This window comes from Homo sapiens, chromosome 5 (genome assembly GCF_000001405.40).
Source record: "Homo sapiens chromosome 5, GRCh38.p14 Primary Assembly".
NCBI classification, from domain to species: Eukaryota; Metazoa; Chordata; class Mammalia; order Primates; family Hominidae; genus Homo; species Homo sapiens.
This window is the reverse complement of record NC_000005.10, coordinates 120190919-120211873: the sequence shown is the minus strand read 5'-3', so window position 1 is coordinate 120211873 and position 20955 is coordinate 120190919. Positions and strand designations below refer to the sequence as shown.

Here is a 20955-nt window from a genome sequence, read left to right as displayed (position 1 = left end):
GTCAAAAACCATGAAGATATTTGTATCCCATGTGAGTGTTCACAAAAGAGTGACCTCAGCAGATGAGGATTTTAATAATCGAGTAGATAGGATGACTTTTTCTGTGGTCACCACTCAACCTCTTTCCTCAGCCACCCCTGTCATCGCCCAGTGGGGCCATGAACAAAGTGGCCATGGTGTCAGGGATGGAAGTTATGCATGGGCTCAGCAACACGGACTTACACTCAGCAAGGCTGACCTGGCTACGGCCACCACTGAGTGCCCAGTTTGCCAGCAGCAGAGAACAACACTGAGCCCATGATATGGCATCATCCCTTGGGATGATCAGCGAGATACTTGGTGGCAGGTTGATTATATTGGACCTCTTCCATCATGGAAAGGGCAGCAGCTTGTCCTCACCAGAACAGACACTTACTCGGGATATGAGTTTGCCTGTCCTGTACACGGTAGTCCTGACAAGATTACCATCCATGGACTCACGGAATACCTTATCCTCTGTCAAGGTATTCCATACAGCATTGCCTCTGACCAGGGCACTTACTTTACACCTAAAGAAGTGTGGCAGTGGTCTCATGCTCATGGAATTCACTGGTCTTACCATATTTCTCATCATCCTGATGCAGCTGGATTGATAGAACATTGGAATGGCCTTTTGAAGTTACAATTACAACACCAACTATATGGCAATACTTTACAGGCCTGGGGAAAAGTTCTCCAGAAGGCTGTGTATGCTCTGAATCAGTGTCGAATATTTGGTACTGTTTCTCCCATAGCCAGGATTCACAGGTCCAGGAATCAAGGGGTAGAAGTGGAAGTGGCACCATTCACCATCACCCCCAGTAACCCACTAGCAAAATCTTTGCTTCCTTTTCCTGCAACATTACATTCTGCTGGCCTAGAGGTCTTAGTTCCAGAGGGAGGAATGCTGCCACCAGGAGACACAATAATTCCTTTTAACTGGAAGTTAAGATTGCCACCTGGCCATTTCGGGCTTCTCCTATCTCTAAGTCAACAGGCGAAGAAAGGAGTTACAGGCCGGGAGCGGTGGCTCATGCCTGAATTCCCAGCACTTTGAGAGGCCGAGGTGGTGGATCACAAGGTCAGGAGATCAAGACCATCTTGGCCAACATGGTGAAACCTCATCTGTACTGAAAATACAAAAATTAGCCGGGTGTGGTAATGTGCGCCTATAGTCCCAGCTACTTGGAGGCTGAGGCAGGAGAATCGCTTGAACCCAGGAGGCAGAGGTTGCAGTGAGTCGAGATTGCACCACTGCACTCCAGCCTAGGAGACAGAGCAAGACTCCATCTCAAAAAAAAAAAAGGAGTTACAGTGTTGGCTGAGGCAACTGACAATCAGCCTACTACTCCACAAAGGAGGTAAGGAAGAGTATGTGTGTAATACAGGAGATCCCTTAGGGCATCTTTTAGTATTACCATGCCCTGTGACTAAGGTCAATGGGAAACTACAACAGCCTAATCCAGGCATGACTGCAAATGGCCCTGACCCTTCAGGAATGAAGGTTTGGGTCACTCTACCCAGTGAAAAATCATGACCTGCTGAGGTGCTTGCTGAAGCCAAAGGGAATACAGAATGGGTAGTAGAAGGTAGTCATCAATACCAGCTATGACCACGTGACCATTTATAGAAACAAGGACTGTAATTGTCATGAGTATTTCCTCTAGTTTGTTCAGAACATCTTTGTGTATGTATACACTTGTACTAAGAGAATATCTTCATTTTTTTCCGTTCTTTTTCCTTTATCATGTAACATAAGATTTATTGACTTCATATCAGTATTTGCTACCCTCATTTGGTACATATCAACTTGATTGGATTGACGGATGCAAAGTAATGTTCCTGGGTGTGTCTGTGAGGGTGTTGCAAAAGGAGATTAACATTTGAGTTAGAGGTCTAGGAGAGGCAGACCCACCCTCAGTCTAGGTGGGCACCATCTAATCAGCTCCCAGCACTGCTAGAATAAAGCAGGCAGAAGAAGTTGGAAAGAGCAGACTTGCTGAGTCTTCTGGCCTTTGTCTTTCTCCCATGCTAGATGCTTCCTGCCCTTGAACATCAGACTCCAAGTTCTTCGGCTTTTGGACTTTTGGACTTACACCAGTGGTTTGCCAGGGTCTCTTGGGCTTTTGGCCACAGACTGATGGCTGCCCTGTCGTCTCCCCTAATTTTGAGGTTTGGGGACACGGAATGATCCACCACTGGCTTCCTTGCTCCTCAACTTGCAGATGTCCTATTATGGGACTTTACCTTGTGATTGTTTGAGTCAATTCTTCTTAAATAACTTCCTTTCATGTATACATATATCTTATTAGTTCTGTTCCTAGAGAACTCTAATACATATATTTACAATTTTTATTTACTTTATATAACACTATGTATTTTATTTTGTCTTGCTATTGTAAATGTGATTCTTGTTCCATTGTATTTTCTTTTTTTTTTTTTTCTTTTCCAGGCACAGTCTCACTCTGTTGCCCAGGCTCTGAAGTGCAGATCACAGCTCACTGCAACCTCCAGCTCCCAGGCTCCACTGAGCCTCCTATTTCAGTGTCCCAAGTAGCTGGGACTACATGTGTACACCACCATGCCCAGCTAAGTTTGCTTTGTTGCTGTTGTTTGTTTGTTGTAGAGATGAGGATCTCACTATGTTACCCATGCTAGTCTTGAACTCTACCCTCAAGCAATCCTCCTGCCTCAGCCTCCCAAAGTGCTGATATTACAAGTGTGAGCCACCACACCCAGCCTCTAGTAATTAATGGTATTTAGGAATGCTACTGTTTTTTTTAAAACACATACCTTGTTACTGGGTGGAGCATTATCCTCTCATTGAATCTGGTAGATTCCAGTTGATAACTTTGATTATCCAGGTAATACCATCCATTAATAATAGTAAATTTATACTTCCAAGACTACTAACAGTTTAGTTCTTCCCATGATTCCCAATTTCCCTGAAAAATCTCTTCTGCTTTGGCTGTTTTAACAAAATACCACAGATTGGGTGGCTTAAAGAACAAAAATGTATTTCTCACACTTCTCTTGGCTAGGAAATCCAAGATCAAGGTTCCAGTGAATTTGGTTTCTGATGAGGGCTCTCTCACTTGCAGATGGCGGCCTTCTTATTATGTTTTGCATGACCTTTCCTTGGAGTTCACTCAGAATGAGAGAAAAGGAGCTCTCTAATGTCTCTTCCTGGAAGGACACCATTTTATCAAATGAGGACCTCACCCTTATGATCTCATTTAACCTTAGTTACAACCTTATGGGTTCTACTTCCAAATGTAGTCACACTGGGAACTAGGGCGTCAACATATGTACTTGGGAGGGACACAACTTAGGCTATAGCATGTGCTTTATAATTTCAATCTAGGACCTAAGTGTCACTTTTAAGTCAATAACTTTCCACTCTTCAGAAATCCACTCCATCCATTTTCTGAGCTCCAGAGTAATATTTCCAGCTGCCAATTAGATAATGAATTGAATTTGTTATCTTTGCCTACCTACTCAAACACACTAAAGCCACAGTTTTACTTAATTTCTCTTTCTTCTTCATCCCTCCAAACATTTGGTTATCAAGTCCTGTTGACTTTCTTTCAACTCTCCTCCCTACACAAGACTCACTGCCCTGACTTCATCTGAGCTCTCATGATGTTTTCCTAGATAAATGGAGTTGCCTTCTTCTACATCAACTTCCTCCAAGTTACCTTTCCTTAAGGGATAATATTAGTTGTCATTAAGTTTTTAAATGACACCATCTGAAGGATACAGCCTGTAGAATAAATGATATGGCATATATGAGAAAGGTTAATTTCGGAATTAGCTAGAACCATAGTTATCAGAGTTTTTTCAAATCTTCTTAAGAACTTTAAAAATGCTTTATTGTACCTGCTGTGGGTATCTAAGTCATGTGATTCAAATTAAAAACAAAAACAACAAAAGAAAAAAGAAACAGAAAACACTGATCTAACAACTAGGATTATAGTTTTTTCTTAATTACTACATATTAATTACTACATATTTTGTTATATTCTATCAGATTACTATCTATCAGATACTCAAAGATGTATTTTTCCGCTAATTTAGGCACAGGACTAGTTAATCTATTTCTAGTGGTACTGAAGATGAATGTCTAAGTCTGTATATATTAAGATACTATTAAAAGTCAAAAGTGTAATGTTCTCAGATATGCCTATAAAATCTAATTTAATGTATTTTTAAGAAATAAAACTAGCTGCCAGTAGATGAAACTTCTGCATTGCTTAGCCTCTGGAATTTTGTGGCCATCAACTTGACTTTGAAACAATGACAAAAGAGCAAAATGCAAAAAAAAAAAAAAAAAAAAAGGAAGATTTTTAAACAATGAAATGGTATCTGATACTGCAGTCAGCATAAAGATCAGAAAAGAAAACAATCAAATATCCCAACTTTATTCCCAATATAATTCTGATCACCAAGCAAAACATCTAAAATGCTATGATTGTTTTGCAATTTCTATATAAAGTCAGACTCTGAGTCAGAAAGCTGAAAAGCATGATGAAATTTGAAAATTAAGCAGGGGAAAATGAAACTAAGGCCCTAGAAGATGAGTTAATATAGTAAATAAAGAGACAATTTTTCCACTTTTGTGAGGTTTTTTGTTTTTGTTTTTTGGTATACTTTTCCACTGATTGCCTAACCTTCCTCCAACTCATTTCTGTATTTTGAAATGTTACCCAGAGATTTTGGTTATACCAAGACAGATTAACATTCCTCTATATCTTCCCTCTTATCCCAAAATATTCTGGACATAACACAACAAACAAATACAGGCGCTCCCTGAAATGTGGAAAGAAGAATGTGGACTGTGTAGGGACCTTAGGACTTGCAGAACAACAAATGATATATTCTCTGAATTTCCTTATTGGTTGTCGTATATCACAGACGGGATAGCAGAAGCCTCCAAAAAGGAACCACAAAGAGGTAGACAGAAAAAACTCTAAGAGCCTCTTCCTCCTAAACAAAGGACACACTACAGGGTGGTCTAACAGATAAAAGCATTTTTCCTGCCCTGGTCCAGCCAAATATCAAAAGAATTAAAACACACCTTCACTCCTTAACGAGGCAGTGGGAGGCAGGGATAGCAAGTACTCCACGTTTCTCTCCCTTGGTATCAGTGAGCCTAGTGGAAAGCTGAGTTTCCACTTTCATTCAAAGGCAACTAGACTGTAATAATCCTTTTGCCACTTTCACCCAGAAAGTGGCAGGGAGGCTCCATCCTACTGATCCTAAAATAAGGCAATGCTAACTAGTGCCCCACTTTGCCTGAGTGATGTCAGTAGGACAAAGGGAAACTGAGTTTACACACTCACCTAGTCCTCATGAAACAGATGGACTGCTTATTAAAACAACAACAACAATAAAATGCTTAGGTGGGATCCAGTATCTCATAATATCTGAAGTGTCCAGGGTAGAATAGAAAATCACTCATATTAAGAACCAAGAAAACCACAATATGATTGAGAAAGGCATTCTACACACACCAACAAGATGTCCTTGAATGAGTAAGTGGTTAAAATACAGTACAACCATACCGTGGAATACTATTAAGCAATAACAAGGAACAAACTATAGATAACACAGCAACTTGGAAAACTCCTGGAAATTATGCTGAGTGAAAAAGTTAATATCAAAAGGTCACACACTCTATAATTCTATTTATATAGTAATCTTAAAATGAAAAACAGATTAGTGGGTATCAAGGATCAATGATGGTGGGGATTATGGGGGAGAGAAGGGGCTCTATATAGGCATGGCTAGAAAAGAGCAACATAAGGGATCCTTGTGGTGGTAGAATTGTTCTGTAGTTTGACTGTATTAATACCAGTATCCTGGTTGTACTATCTGTAGGATAGTTTTGTAAGATGTTACCACTGCGGGAAACTGGGTAAAAGAAACATGGTATCACTCTATATTATTTCTTACAACTGTATGTGCAATTAAAATTATTTTAAAATGTTTAATTTAAAAAATAAAAACAAATAAATCTATCTAAATTTAACATGAAAACCATAGTCAAAGGCCAGGGCTGGCTATGTAATTTTCAGGATACATTGCAAAAAGAAAATGTGAACCTTTTAACTCAAAAATTAAGAATTTCAAGACAGTGACCACAGAGCATTATACTAAGTAGGGCACTTCTGAATAGAAGATCCTCTATGACCACACAAAACCCTTATCCAACCCCTGGCTCAAGGTTGGGATTTTTAAAGCATTCCTACACTCCAATGCATCATTAACCAGCATTTTGAGCCTAAAAATGCACTTTCCACCCATTTTCTGCTCTGTTACCCAAAAGCAGTACTTTGATGAGCCATCCTAGAAGCTAAATCAAGAGGGAAAGTCAAAAACAAAAAATAAAAATAGGAAAATCCAGTAATATTAATATTGTCTTTATTCAAACTTTTGATGTTTTGTTCATCATTGCTATTTGTTTTAATTTTAAAACTACACTAAAACATTATTTTGATTAGTGGTGCCTCCTTAAATTTTGCTGAAGAGGCAAGTGTCTCACTCATTCCCCCCTAGTCAGGCCTGCCAGGGAGGCTGACCAGTATGACCTGCATCTCTCAGGCTCCGTTTTCCCTTGGCTTCAGTTTGGGGTCAACAGACCTAAGGGGGCACAAGTAGGAGATTCATGGTGAGAGAGCGAGTTTAGAATACTGATTTCCCCAGTTTCTCACTTCCAGCCTGGAAATTGGCAGTAGCTATGTTCCTCGTGGGAAGGTAATATCCTTTGGCTGTGTCCCCACCCAAATCTCACCTTGAATTGTAATAATCCCCAAGGGCAGGGCCAGGTGAAGATAAGTGAATCATGGGGGTGGTTTCCCCAATACTGTTCTCATGGTAGTGAATAAGTCTCACAAGATCTGATGGTTTCATAAATGGGAGTTCCCCTGCACAAGCTCTCTTTGCCTGCTGCCATGTAAGATGTGACTTTGCTCCTCCTTCACCTTCCACCATGATTGTGAGGCCTCCCCAGCCATGTGGAACTGTGAGTCCATTAAACCTCTTTCCTTTATAAATTGTCCAGTCATTCAGGTATGTCTTCATTAGCAGCAGGAGAATGGACTAATACAGAAGGTCACAACGTCATAAGGTTGCCTTCACTACAGCTACCACTGCATCTCTCTCTGGGTTCTAGTAAGCATACCTCCAACTGTATCCTCAGTCCCAGAGTAAATGATAGCTCCTTGTTGTTGCTGTCCTTGAGTGCTTCACTATCTATTCCTCACGCTCTTGCAAGCAATCACCTCATTAAACTCTCCCTACTTGCTCCGTGAGTGTTACATCTATTTCCTGTTAGGACCTTGGCTGATTAGTATTTCAAAAACATTTTGCTTAAAAGTATATTAGATTCTCCCTTGTTTCTATCATGTATTGCATTGTATACAGATTTGCTATTTCTGTCAACAATAGATATTTGATGGAGGCGGTGGATTTCTTACTTATCTGTATATCACACCCAAGTCCTTGCACAGTGCCTTAAATATGCTTGCAATAAACTCATGATTGCCAATTTTAACTTAATGTGTAAAAACAGTGAAAGAGTAACCTATTGTGTAATCAAGAATGAAATCCTGAAGTGTTTTGAGTGTAGACAGCTGATGGCAAAAATAAACAGTTAATTTCTGGAACCTAAAAAATTCATACATGTGGAGGCTGTTCCATTATTGGATTCAATTCTTTTGCAATAAGTCCACTATTCATAGGAATTTTTCAGTGGTGTGTTCCAGATCTTCTTTTTCAAAAAGTTACTGGATAATCAAAATGTAGTGTGAAAGCTTGTTCTTAATTAAAAAACATATTTTAGAGCAATTGTCAATGCCAGTAGTCATTCAAATTCATGCCCCAAATGCATATATACATATATATAGAATAAAGTGCTTTATTCAGTCACTTTATTCAACTACAGATTTATATTTAAATTCCACATGCTGTTCCACTAAAGTTTAATATATATATGTATTTCAGTATCAATAGCTGTATCATTAACATATCACAGTAATGTTCATAATGTTCATAATGTTCAAAATTTCGAAAAAAAAGATATTTGCAGGTAGATGAGTTTATAATACATATTACAAAGGTACAAATTGAAGAAACAGCATTTAAATCACTAGGCTTCAAGTTGCCAAAAAGCTTGAAATAGTATAATAAGTAATTCCTGTTGGGTTCAGGTAGCTAAAATTTGAGTACAGTTAAAATATCTCCTGATATGCACATGCGCACATGCACACGCACACACACCCCACACACAAATCACTGAAGTAGCATTAACGAGAGATTGAACTATATCTATGAGAGACATTAATGAGCGAACACATTAATGAGAGTACTGCCACTATTTTCATAGACTCAGTAAAGAAAAGCAAATAACAGGATAATATATAAAATCAATATTTGGCCTATTCTTTGCTATATCATATTAAAATATGATTTTTCAAAAGGAAACTAAAATCACAGAAAACCAAAAACAATGGCATACACCATAGACTATGAGATGCCATGAAAGAGTCTTTCTCTGTCCAGATTTGATCATTTACTTCGTAGTTACCAAGAACAGATATAAAAGCAGATGCCAATAGAAAGGCAGCTACATATGTATAACACTCACAAAGGGCTTTGTAAGAACACCTGAAAGAGTCTTCAGTGAATTCGGGCTAATATTTCAGTCTTACATTAACCCACAGTTTCACATTAATGTTCACTTATTCATTTGGTAAACAAATATTTATTGAGGATGTATTGTGTTCCAGGTGGTGGTATAAAGGCGGTGAGCAAGACAAATGGGTTATCCCTCTAATAGAGCTCAGATTTTAGTGAGGGGGAAAGACAATACACAATGAAACAAGAGATAATTCCAAAAAGTGCCAACTGTTACCATTAAAATAAAACAGTGTTTGTGAAGGATAGTGAATGCTGCAGGTGAGTTGGTTTATTCAGGTTATTTTGGCAGAGAAAGCTTCTGTGAAGAGGTTATAATTTAATAAAGTGAAATTTAAAAATTAAAAATAAAGATCTTCAGCTTTGTGAAGATCTGAGAAATGCCTGTGGCAGTGTCCTAGGGATAACGTGAACTTTGTGTTTTTGTGGAAAGAGAAGAAGTTATCTGTGTAACTGAAGAGGTGAACAGGGCCAGATCAGTGTGGCCTTCTAAGACATACTGAAGGGTCTAGTTTCTGCTCTAAGCTCGGATAGTAGAACTAATAGTTCCTGTTTCATATGCTATGTACTTCTTTGAAGACCGGTATTATAGACAGTTATTTTAAGCACAACAACCAACTATTATTTATAAAAATTTAGGCAAAAATTATTCTGCAACTGGAACACAAAAGGTCAATTTACTATACTATATATATCAAAAGGTCACATCATAGTGGTTTAAGATTATAACCTTTTGGGACACATGGTTTAGAGTTATAATTTCAGCTCTATAGCTTAAGTACTAGGCTCAATCTTGGACAATTTAAACTCTCTCAACTTAGTCTCTTCCTCTATAAAATGGTGACTAAAATATTTATAGTATAGTGTAGCAGTGTAGATTAAGCAAGATAAGTGTTTACTGCAATGTATGATACCTTATAAGTGGTGAGGAAATGGTAGCTATTGTTGCTGTAATTATTATTATGTTATACCCCATATTGGCATTTACTCTGTTAATATTTAAGTTTTAGGTTGAATTTTTTGTCTTGGTCAAATACTCTAGAAGCTTACTCTGATAAGATCATTTTTGTGCAAATGATTTATTAAGAATACTCTCAGCAGGAACTGGCAAAATACTAGTTAAAGTAGGACAGAGTAGGGAGGAAGGGAAACAAGGCTGCAATCTTAGGGGAAATCCTACAGAGGAAGGCTTCAGTCTGCAGAATTTTGGAGTCTAGATTATACCTCAAAAGTATCCTCATGCAAAGCAAGAGAGCAGACTTTCTTACATCAATACCTGCCAGTCTCTAGTCCACGGGTGCTTAAATACTCCTAGTCCCCACTAAGAGAAATAAAGTTGATTCTTGTTATTCAAGGTAGTTATGTTCTACAAAATCATCGTGAACACTGAATGATGAATCCTGATCATTGTACCTAGAGGAAATAAAAGGTTAGGTTTCTACAAGGCTTTCATCACATTTTTGTCAACCAATGACCATATAACCTTGTTTTACGGGTTTCTGTTTAAAGACACCTTACTTAACATACATGTTTTATTCATTAACATTGAATTAATGGACAACATTGTAACTCATGCCTGAATTAAGCTTATCTAGCACTTACATTTTTTCCACAAGGCACATCATTGATTTAGAGGTTACAAATAAGCTTTAGTAAGTAGATGAATTCTCAAATACAAAAGCCATGACTAATGAGGATCCACTCCAAATTATCAGAAACCTCTTCTCTTTGGATGTAGCCAAGGTAGCTTCAGCGGCCATTGGCAGTGCTCTGAAGGCTAGTTAAGATTCAGGGTATTAGAAGTGAAGGGCAGAGCACTGGCATTATCTGCTACAGTCACCAACATGCTTAAGAACAACAGTGACTACTATATTATCATGTACAGTGATAGCATGGAAATATACTTGTGTATTCTCCCCAGGGACTCCTGAATATCAAACATACTGTTAATGTAATAATTAAGTGAGCCTAATGGTGACACAGTCTAGAAAAAGAGGTAAAATCATATTCGAGACCAATATGTATAAACAGAAATTTCTGCATGCAGTCTGTTTGTAATTTTTCCCTAGGTTTTTTTTTTTTTCCTCTGAGATAGAGTCTCACTCTGTCACCCAGGCTGGAGTGCAGTGGCGCGATCTTGGCTTACTGCAACCTCCGCTTCCCGAGCTCAAACGATTCTCCTGTCTCAGCATCCGAGTAGCTGGGACTACAGGTACGTGCCACCATGTCTGGCTAATTTCTTTATCTTTAGTAGAGATGGGGTTTCACTATTTTGGCCAGGCTGGTCTCGAACTCCTGACCTCAAGTGAACCACCCTTCTTAGCCTCCCAAAGCGCTGGGATTACAGGCGTGAGCCACTGCACACAGCCTAGTCTATTTATAATTTTCCCTTTTGAGGGATTACTACTTCCGTCAAAGCTACTTACCCCCAATATTGCATACTGAAAATGTTTTCATATTTTACCATGTCTTTTTTTCACTTATGTACCTTTGTGCATGGTTTATACATTTTCCAATATTTTGGTATATAATATTGAAACTGCCATTTTATACTACTAGAAATAATTAAAATTTACTTATCTTTTTCTGTTTTCACTATTCTTATATTTTTGGTAGACTTGGAAGATTACATTAATGTTCATAATTCCACAGAGTAATTCTCCACAACTCCCAAATCATCTTAAGAGGTCATCGTAAACTGAGGTTTTGCTTACTATACTGAGACAGTTGCTAAGGATGCATTTTAGAGAAAAAATAGTGAACAAAGAAAGACTTTTTTATATAGCATGAGATCAATCAAAGGGAAATAGTGTACCCTTTGGTTTGGAGTACAGGCCTGTAACAAAATAGCTTTTAACTTCATTAACACAGAGGACAACAACTGGCATTTTAACAGAGGACCAGAATTGTTTTCTCCCTCCCTGAATTTTTCTGATTATTTATGATACAATAAGGACAACATAATTGCTTACGCTCTCCTTATTCCTTATATGCATGTGTGTTTCTAAAGTAAACAACCTCTTTCTTACTGCACTGTGACATTTTTAGGATAGTAGCTGGCAGTGCACATCGGGGTTGACTCTATAACATCCAGCCCACTCCTCCCAGCACTATGCAGCAGCAACGTGGTTTGGAGATTGACCTTTCTTCCAAGGGTGAGCAGTCCGTAAGTTAAGCCAGTTGGCTCAATACTAGAATCACCTGTGGAGTTTAAAAGCTATGATGCCTGGGTTTCAATGCGGAGACTCTGATTTAATTTGTCTGAAGTAGAGACCAAGATTTTAAAACTCCCCAGGTGACTTTAAACTGCAGTCAAAGTTGACAGCCACTGGTTTAAACCAGTCTTGCTAATTCCAGCTCCGTTGACATTGATTGATTTAGAAGGAGGGCCAAGCCAACACAAACATGGTGTTTGTATCCATTATGATTAGTGTCAGCTGTCATCTTAAGAAAGAAGTCTGACGATAGACCAACTAGGCATGGTATGGCAGCTCAACAAAGCCATTGGAGTCCCAGGCTTTTTCTATATTTCCATCTGTTAAAATCTTACTCCAGCCAGAAAGAAGGAGAAAGGGAATAGGAGAAGAAGGGCTCAACACCTATTTTAAAGATCACTGCTGGAATCCTCAGTATTACACATAACTGACAAGACTTAGAAATGGAGAATGCTCATCCCCTTTAGAGAGTTTAGTTGGAAGGCCCATACATCTCTTTTCCTTGGCAAAAACTTGATCACATAACTATATCTAGCTACGAGGGAAAATGCAATTTTTAAACAAGGGCATTGTGGCCCTAAATAAAATCAGATCTTCTAGAGGTAAAGGGAGAATAAATTAAGAATAGGCAGATAGCGGTATTGGCCATAGCATTTATCTTAGCTGGGATTGGTCGACAAATGACCCAGGACAGAAAAAAGTTGATAGTAAAAGGAAAAGTAGAAAAGTGGGAAGAACCTTAGTTACACTTCCATGTAATAATTACACCATTGTGTCACTGACTCCACCAGCCTGAAGACCTGCTAACTTAAATTTGTGAGGCCAGTAAATTCTAATATAAGATAGTTTTCTGCTACTTACAATTCAAAGCATATTCATAGTTACAAAGGCAAAAGCTAATTTGGTTCTTTTTAATTTATCAAATGGCAGTATACTTTCTTTGTGGATAAAATAAAATTAGTACTATACCATTCTTAGATTCTTTCCAATCTATTTGCAATTTGTCATTTTGGTCTAGAAAAGGTCTTCTGGTTGTTACCTGTTAATAAATGTACATAAAATCAGCTTAGACTAAGCTAAACTGGGAATGAAAATATTTTGATATATTTTCTTGAAGTAAATTCATTGCTAGAAAATAAATATTTTTTCTATTGGACCAGAAAAAAAAAATAAGCTCAGTGCTTCAAACCTATTAATTTTCAGTACATTTTTTAAGAAAAAATATTATGTGGAAATTATTCCTACACTTATTTAATTTTTTGTATCATTTTATGTATGTAAGAGGATTATGTAGGATACATGTGTTTTATGATATATATGTGTCTTTTGAGGGCTTGTAAGGAGACTCTAAACCAGGCCAAAATTTTACAAAGACATCGCTTAGAGCTGAAATCTTGTCCCCAACTTCAATTCAAAAGTGTAGTGTTCTGAAAAGAGCCAAAGCCCAGAACTAACAATTAACATAATAATAAGGATAGTAATAGTTATGTCTGTCCCTGTCTGTCTCAGGTAAACCACTTATTACCATGGTAGATCAAAAACTTGTCTACAAGTCACGAATTCTAAGACCAAGATGTGCTCTCTTGGTATGTCTAGTTGTTCGGGCTTAAGCAAATAATTTAGCTTTTCTGATCTCAAGATAATCATGTAGAAAATAGTTGGCTCTGTTGGCTACTCTTATAAGTCTGTTCCAATGTTGGGCTAATTAATGTCCTACCATTTTAATTTGTATTCTTTCTCTCTGCCCTCCAAGATTCAAACTTATTTTATTAAAAATAATGGTTTTCATATATAAACAGGTGAGAGAGAATATTTGTTAAAGAAAATTTAAGGTCCATAAAATTGGTCTATTAAATGAATTAAATTCTGTAGGATATAAGTAGTAAACTGTATCTTCTTTTTCCTGGTTACTTTCTTTGCCACACGCACGTGTGCATGTGTGTGTTTTGGGTTTTTTTTTTTTTTTTTGTATTATTTCAATAGATTGCATAGCTTTCCAGTTACTTTTAGGTAAATCAACTCACTTCCAAGTTTTAAAAAATCTAGTTGAATCTAATTCAATACTAGCATCTCACATCCAATTTAAAATTTATCCTTTCATCATCCTCAGACTAGGCACAAGGATGGGTATCTGTATTAGAAAGGGGGAATGTGTTCTGTTTTGTCTCTTTTCTTATTCCAAATAAACTGTTGCTTCTGGCTTCTTCTGACTGAGGGACAGAGGGAAAGTAGAATCAGAGAAATGAAGCAAGATCTGACTTTTGCTGTTACAATGTGATAATTGATTCTCAGGGAGGTGGATGCCCAAAGGCTGGCTCTTTCTCATAGGACACACAAGTGACGGAAATGTCAGAGAATCCTCACCAAGAAGCCCTTTATGGCACCTTTGCCAGGTGCAAGTCATATACTCACCAGCTCATTGTTTACTGCCCCTCTAACTCCTGCCTTCTAACATAAGACCCCACAGTATTTCTTTTTCCTGGGCTCCCATCATACCAGGAGAGATCCTCCTTGGTCAAGGTCCTTTTAGTCCTTTTGAGATGGCTCTAGTCTGGCTACCTTTTAAGCATTCACTTGGCCCATGAGAAACCTTACACCTTTTCCCAGCTAAAGAAAATAAATAAAAGTTGTTCCAAAGGTAGGCATGCTTCTTTCCCTGAAATCAGAGGAGGCTACAGCCAACCTCTTTCCTTTAGACTTCTGTGAAAGTCAGGCATCATTTTCTCTGACCAACAAACTGCAGGGGATACGTGTCTCATTGTCTTAATAATTTCTTCCTACTCCCTTTCAGTAGCAAATTAGAAAAGGTCTATATTCTTGAGCACTTTGGTGGCATTCATGCAGGAAAAAAATATTCCTAGCTGGAAAGCCACTTCCAAAATCTCTGATGAGCTCTTTGGCCACTCCTGCTTTTCCACTTGAGGGGAGAAAGCTCTCTCTCCTCATTTCTACCCAAAATAAAGAACAGAGAGGCATAACAGTGTTCTTATTGCACAAATTTCCATTAAAAGATCTCCCTCTCTATCCAATGTCTAGGCTTTACCTACATGGGCTGAAGATGAGTGATACGACTAAGATCTCAGGGTTGGTTATGGTTTTGATGAGATTTCCACATGTTTTTTTTCAAGTGTTTCCTTTTAAAGGTAGAAGGAATTATTACCCATTATTCTTAGCTATAAGGAAAAATATAGCCAAAATTCTGAAACAATCTCGTATAGTTTATATAAAATTCATGGTGAAGACCTACAAAGGCTGTTATTTTATGAGCAAGTCTTGGAAATAACAATTTTCTTTGAAATACAATTTGTTATGAGAAAATACTATATAAATTACTCCTATGTTTAGCCTTTGTGCAAAGAAAACATGTGTCTGAAACATACAAAATGGTACTGTACTTCTTTTTCCTGGATGATATGTTTATGTGTATCTCTGTTTAAGAGAACATGGAAACTATTTTATGTCTTCATCACTTCTATTTTTAGAAATAGAAATTTTGCTAAACTCTCCTACTTAGTTCTCAAGTGTACATATGAATTATATTGCAGCCAAATAAATAAAACTGATGTTGAATGATCAATGTGACGTTTATTTAGGATATGGAATATGTGGCAATTCCATTTTATCCTGCTTCCTATTATAGTGGCAATCATGTACCTTTGAGCTCATGGTAATCACTGGTTATTAGAATTAATCATATCATCCTCACCATAATATTACATTTATTTTTATTAGCTTCTTTTACACAAGGGAGCTGTGTAGGTTATTGTGTAAGCATAGAAAACTGACATGTGCTGTCCTTCAGGGTTTCCCATTTGAAGCCAAGCAATTCAAATAACAGTCTCATTGGAATGAAGACCATTTTATAGTCATAATTATCTCCATAATCACCATCATCATCATGAATGACTACAATGTGCTGAGTTTATACCAGGTGCTTTAATTATAATATCTATAATTGTCAAGTAACACTATTGCTGTGGTGTCTCTCAATTTTCTCTTTTTACAACATGTGAGGGTTTCACTAACTAATGGAGTAGTTGGGAAATTCGGCCTCACTACGCTTAGAGACTAATTCTTCTCTTGTGCTTCCTGAGTAGGGGTTCACTGGTGTTATTAGACTCTCCATTGACTGACAGAGCTTAGAACAGAATGGGTGGAGAGTTGTGTAGATGTCTGTTAGGCCTGCTTGCTCCCAAGCTGAGTTCAAGTCTTAAATATCCTTGTTAATTTTCTTTCTCGTTGTTCTGTCTAATATTGACAGTGGGTTGTTGGAGTCTCCCACCATTATTGTGTGTGGGGAAAAGCAAGAGAGATCAGATTGTTACTGTGTCTGTGTAGAAAGAAGTAGACATAGGAGACTCCATTTTGTTATGTACTAAGAAAAATTCTTCTGCCTTGAGATTCTGTTAATCTATAACCTTACCCCCAACCCCGTGCTCTCTGAAACATGTGCTGTGTCAACTCAGAGTTAAATGGATTAAGGGCGGTGCAAGATGTGCTTTGTTAAACAGATGCTTGAAGGCAGCATGCTCCTTAAGAGTCATCACCACTCCCTAATCTCAAGTACCCAGGGACACAAAAACTGCGGAAGGCCGCAGGGACCTCTGCCTAGGAAAGCCAGGTATTGTCCAAGGTTTCTCCCCATGTGATAGTCTGAAATATGGCCTCGTGGGAAGGGAAAGACCTGACCGTCCCCCAGCCCGACACCCGTAAAGGGTCTGTGCTGAGGAGGATTAGTAAAAGAGGAAGGAATGCCTCTTGCAGTTGAGACAAGAGGAAGGCATCTGTCTCCTGCCCGTCCCTGGGCAATGGAATGTCTCGGTATAAAACCCGACTGTATGCTCCATCTACTGAGATAGGGAAAAACCGCCTTAGGGCTGGAGGTGGGACCTGCGGGCAGCAATACTGCTTTGTAAAGCATTGAGATGTTTATGTGTATGCATATCTAAAAGCACAGCACTTAATCCTTTACATTGTCTATGATGCAAAGACCTTTGTTCACGTGTTTGTCTGCTGACCCTCTCCCCACAATTGTCTTGTGACCCTGACTCATCCCCACCTTAGGAGAAACACCCACAGGTGTGTAGGGGCAACCCACCCCTACAATTGTGTGGGAGTCTAACTCTCTTTGTAGGTCTCTAAGAATTTGCTTTATGAATCTGGGGGCTCCTGTATTGGGTGCATATATATTTAGGATAGTTAGCTCTTCTTGTTGCATTGGTCCCTTTACTATTATGTAATACCCTTCTTTGTCTTTTTCGATCTTTGTTGGTTTAAAGTCTGTTTTATCAGACACTAGGATTGCAACCCCTGCCTTATTTTGCTTTCCATTTGCTTGGTAAATATTCCTCCATCTCCTTATTTTGAGCTTATGTGTGTCTTTGCACATAAGATGGATCTCCTAAATACAGCACATCGATGGGTGTTGACTCTTTATCCAATTTGCCAGTCTCTATCTTTTAATTGGGGCATTTAGCCTGTTTACATTTAAGGTTAATATTGTTATGTGTGACAATTTCAGTAGCTTGTATGGGAAAACTCCAATACAGCCACTGAAAACTTGTGTAGGGCCTTATATTTCTGAAGGTTGTTACTTTCTGACCATATTCATAGGTTTAAGAGGGAGAAAACAGCTTTCCTTTGAGGATGAATAAGTGAGAATCTTTCAGGCTCAGCTTCACCCTACCACAGGTTATCTATAAGGTTAGCATATTTACAAAGGCCAACAATTTATCTGAGACCTCCCACCCTTCCTCTCTTCTCCCTCGGCGTTGTACTGAGAATCATTTGGCTCTCACCTGCCTATATCAAAGTGCAGCAGTCTCACAAATAACCCAAACAGCCTTGTATTAATATTTCTCTCTACTCTTTATTATCTGTACCAGAGGTTTTGCATCAGGTCGTCTTATGAAGTAGAATAAGAGAGAACATGATTTCAACATTGCTATAAATGAGGAATTATTGTTACTAATTTATAGATAAGCAAAATGAGACACATCTGGATGTGAATCTCAATATCATTATTTACTTGCCTTGGATAGTCATTTAATTGGGCAACTCACTTGAACTTCTGGGACCTCTGATTTCTCATCTGTAGAATAATACCTGCCTTGGAAGATTATTCTGAGAAGTAGAGTAATGAATAAAAAACACATAGAGACACATCTGTAACACAAGAGGTGCTCAGTAATCTGTAAATTTTACTATATTTTTGTATTGACTCACTCCTATAAAGTCATACAGCAGTTATGTATCAGACACAGGGTTCATACTCTCAGGCTCTTTCAACTACACTCCTGAAACTACACTATCAATGCAGCTGAAGTAACTAGAAGTATCAATAACATCTAAAACCATTCCAGAACAAAAGAGATTCCACAGCCATAATTGGTAATTTTCCAAGTGCTTCTGAATAATATCTGAGCCTCTCCTTGCAGGAGTATTGGATGAGAGACAGGGAAACCAGATACCTCAACTTTCAGGCATTACCTGTAAAGCCAAAAAATGGCAACTGGAATATCTCCTTTAGAAGTTTTCCAGAAATAGACTTTGTAATACAAGGGACTTCCTTATAGGCATGAAACTGGCAAATCCTTCATTAGGAATGAATAATACTCAATTTCATGACATACATTATCACATGTGATGATATTACCAGAAATCCTCTGAGTAAATTTTTAACAGGTAAGAAATGTTAATATTAATAAATAAATATCAATATATTAATAGAATGTATTGGTATTTCCAGTTTCATATTCTAAGAGGACCTACTGTTTTATAACGCTTGGGGGAAAATCCAGAAATCCTACCATATACATTCATACATGTGTTTAGTTAGAATTTCAACAATTTGGGAGAAAACTGTTCTCTTTCCAGTCAATGATTAGTGTTATGGTAATTAGGTCCTAAAATTGAAACCATGTAAGCTTTTTTATCATTATGAGTTCCTATAAAAATAGCTATATTGTTATAAAAATACTTTATTGTATTTTTCAATTAATTCCCTATAGATGCATATTGGTATCAGTGTTTTCCTACAATTTTCCAAGAATTAGATTTTGTGACACATATGCTCTTAGTTTAAAGAAGTAATTCTTAGCCCTGTCACTAAAGCAAAGATATATATAATCCTCTCAGCCCTCTAAATTTTATTATATGGTAGTATTTTATTATGAACGTGCTGCTTATAAATCTGAGCTATTTAAATAAAGTAAAGGTTACTTGTACATTAAATATAATAACATTAATGTTTTTAGGTTTTAATATATAAAATTGTGAGTATAAGATCATATGATTCTTCTCTAATCTAAGAGATGCATGTTGCCTAATAGCAGCAATATTTGCTGAAATACAGTAGCATGATTTTAACAATGCTGTGTTTATGCGAAATTCTTTAATCCTCTGGGAAATGGGAAAGGATGTGAAATAGTGTCCTATGGCTGCTGTAATACAAACTGTGTTGCTTAAAACAACAGAAATTTATTGACTTACAGTTCTGGAGGCTAAGAGTCCAAAATTAAGGTATCAGCACAGTTGTTTATTTCTGAGGACTCTGAGGAAGAATCTGTTCCAAGCCTCTCAAAATTTTAGCTACTGGTGACAGCCAGCAATGCTTAAGGCTCCTTGACTTGTAGATGGAGCACTCCAGCCTCTGCCTCTGTCATTACATGGCATTCTGTCACACCAGAATCACCTTTCGTGTCTACATTTCTACAGATAGTTTCTTCAAGGCAATCTAGGCTTTTTCTATTCTGTGCCTCAAATCTTTTTGCCTCTACCCATTATCCAACTTGAAAGCCGCTTTCACATTTTTAAGTATTTGCTCCAGCAGCACCCCTCTTCCTGGTACCAAAATCAGTATCAGTCAGAATTTCCAGAGAAACAGAGCTAATAGAATATTTAAAGAGGGAGAAAGAGAGAAACGTTGTTCGAGTTTAAGGAATTGGCTGAAGCTACTGAAAGAATTAGCAAGTCTGAAATCTGGAGTACAGGCTGGCAAGCTGGAACCTCAGGCAGGATTTATGTATTCTAGTCTTGAGAAAGAATTCCTTTTCCTCTGAGGAACCTCAGTTTTTGCCATTAAGGCCCTCAACTGATTGAATGAAGCCCATCCATGTTATCCATGGTAATCTACTTAAAGTCAACTGATTATAAATGTTAATCACATCCACAAACTACCTTCAAAGCAACATCTAAAGTAGTGTTAGATCACACAAGTGGACACCAAAGTCTTGCCAAGCTGACACGTAAAATTAACCATCATCAGGTAGGAGACAGGCAGCTGTGAACCAGCGAAACCAGATCATAGAGACAAGGTCTGAAATGAAAGGTAGAAGGTAGAGAAACTGGTGACATGTAAAGCCTTTGGCATACATTTTGTAGGTTTCCAAGGACCTCTAGAATGAGTAGGTGGGAGCTTTTCATAGGCAATATAAAAGATAATAATAGCAATAATAATAGCCAACATTTATTGAGCTTCTAAATTTTCTTGATACCACACCTACGAAGTAATGGCTGTTGTCATTTTCATTATCTATAAAAGAAAATTTAGGCAAAGAGAAGTCAAGGAACTTTTCTAGTTCACAAAGCTAGTAGGTAGCTGAGACTGGATTTAAACCTAGGTATCTTGGCTTTGGGGCCCATGCTCCCAACCATCAACCACTAGCAATGCTGATGCCTCCTTCTCTCTTTTGGCTTCCCAAGAAGCTGTTATACTGTCTTTCTACTGCCTTAACGTGGCTTATCTAAGATCAGTGAGACAAGGAGAAGTACATGCTTTGAACATTTGAAGGATCTATAGTCTAAGTTAAAGGAATTACGTATACTCACATTACGAATTAGTGCAGTAATTCAGTAACACTAAAAAACCACTGAACAATGAAAAACAGAATGAAGCTGAAACGAGGCAGTTGGGCTTGAAACACTAAGAAAAGCTAGCACAAAAGTTGATCTTTAAGTCAGATTCTGTGTACAGATAGAGCAATATGAGGCATGAATTAAAAGCACCTAGACATAATAGGAAGAG

General features: G+C 37.8%; 1 annotated feature.

Moving 5' to 3' along the window:
• Positions 16343-17194: an enhancer, noted in NCBI's record as "OCT4-NANOG-H3K27ac hESC enhancer chr5:119530375-119531226 (GRCh37/hg19 assembly coordinates)". NCBI's record gives its function as "activates a minimal SCP1, AML or CMV promoter by ChIP-STARR-seq in naive H9 embryonic stem cells {active_cell/tissue: H9 hESC(naive)}" and the evidence as "EXISTENCE:reporter gene assay evidence [ECO:0000049][PMID:30033119]".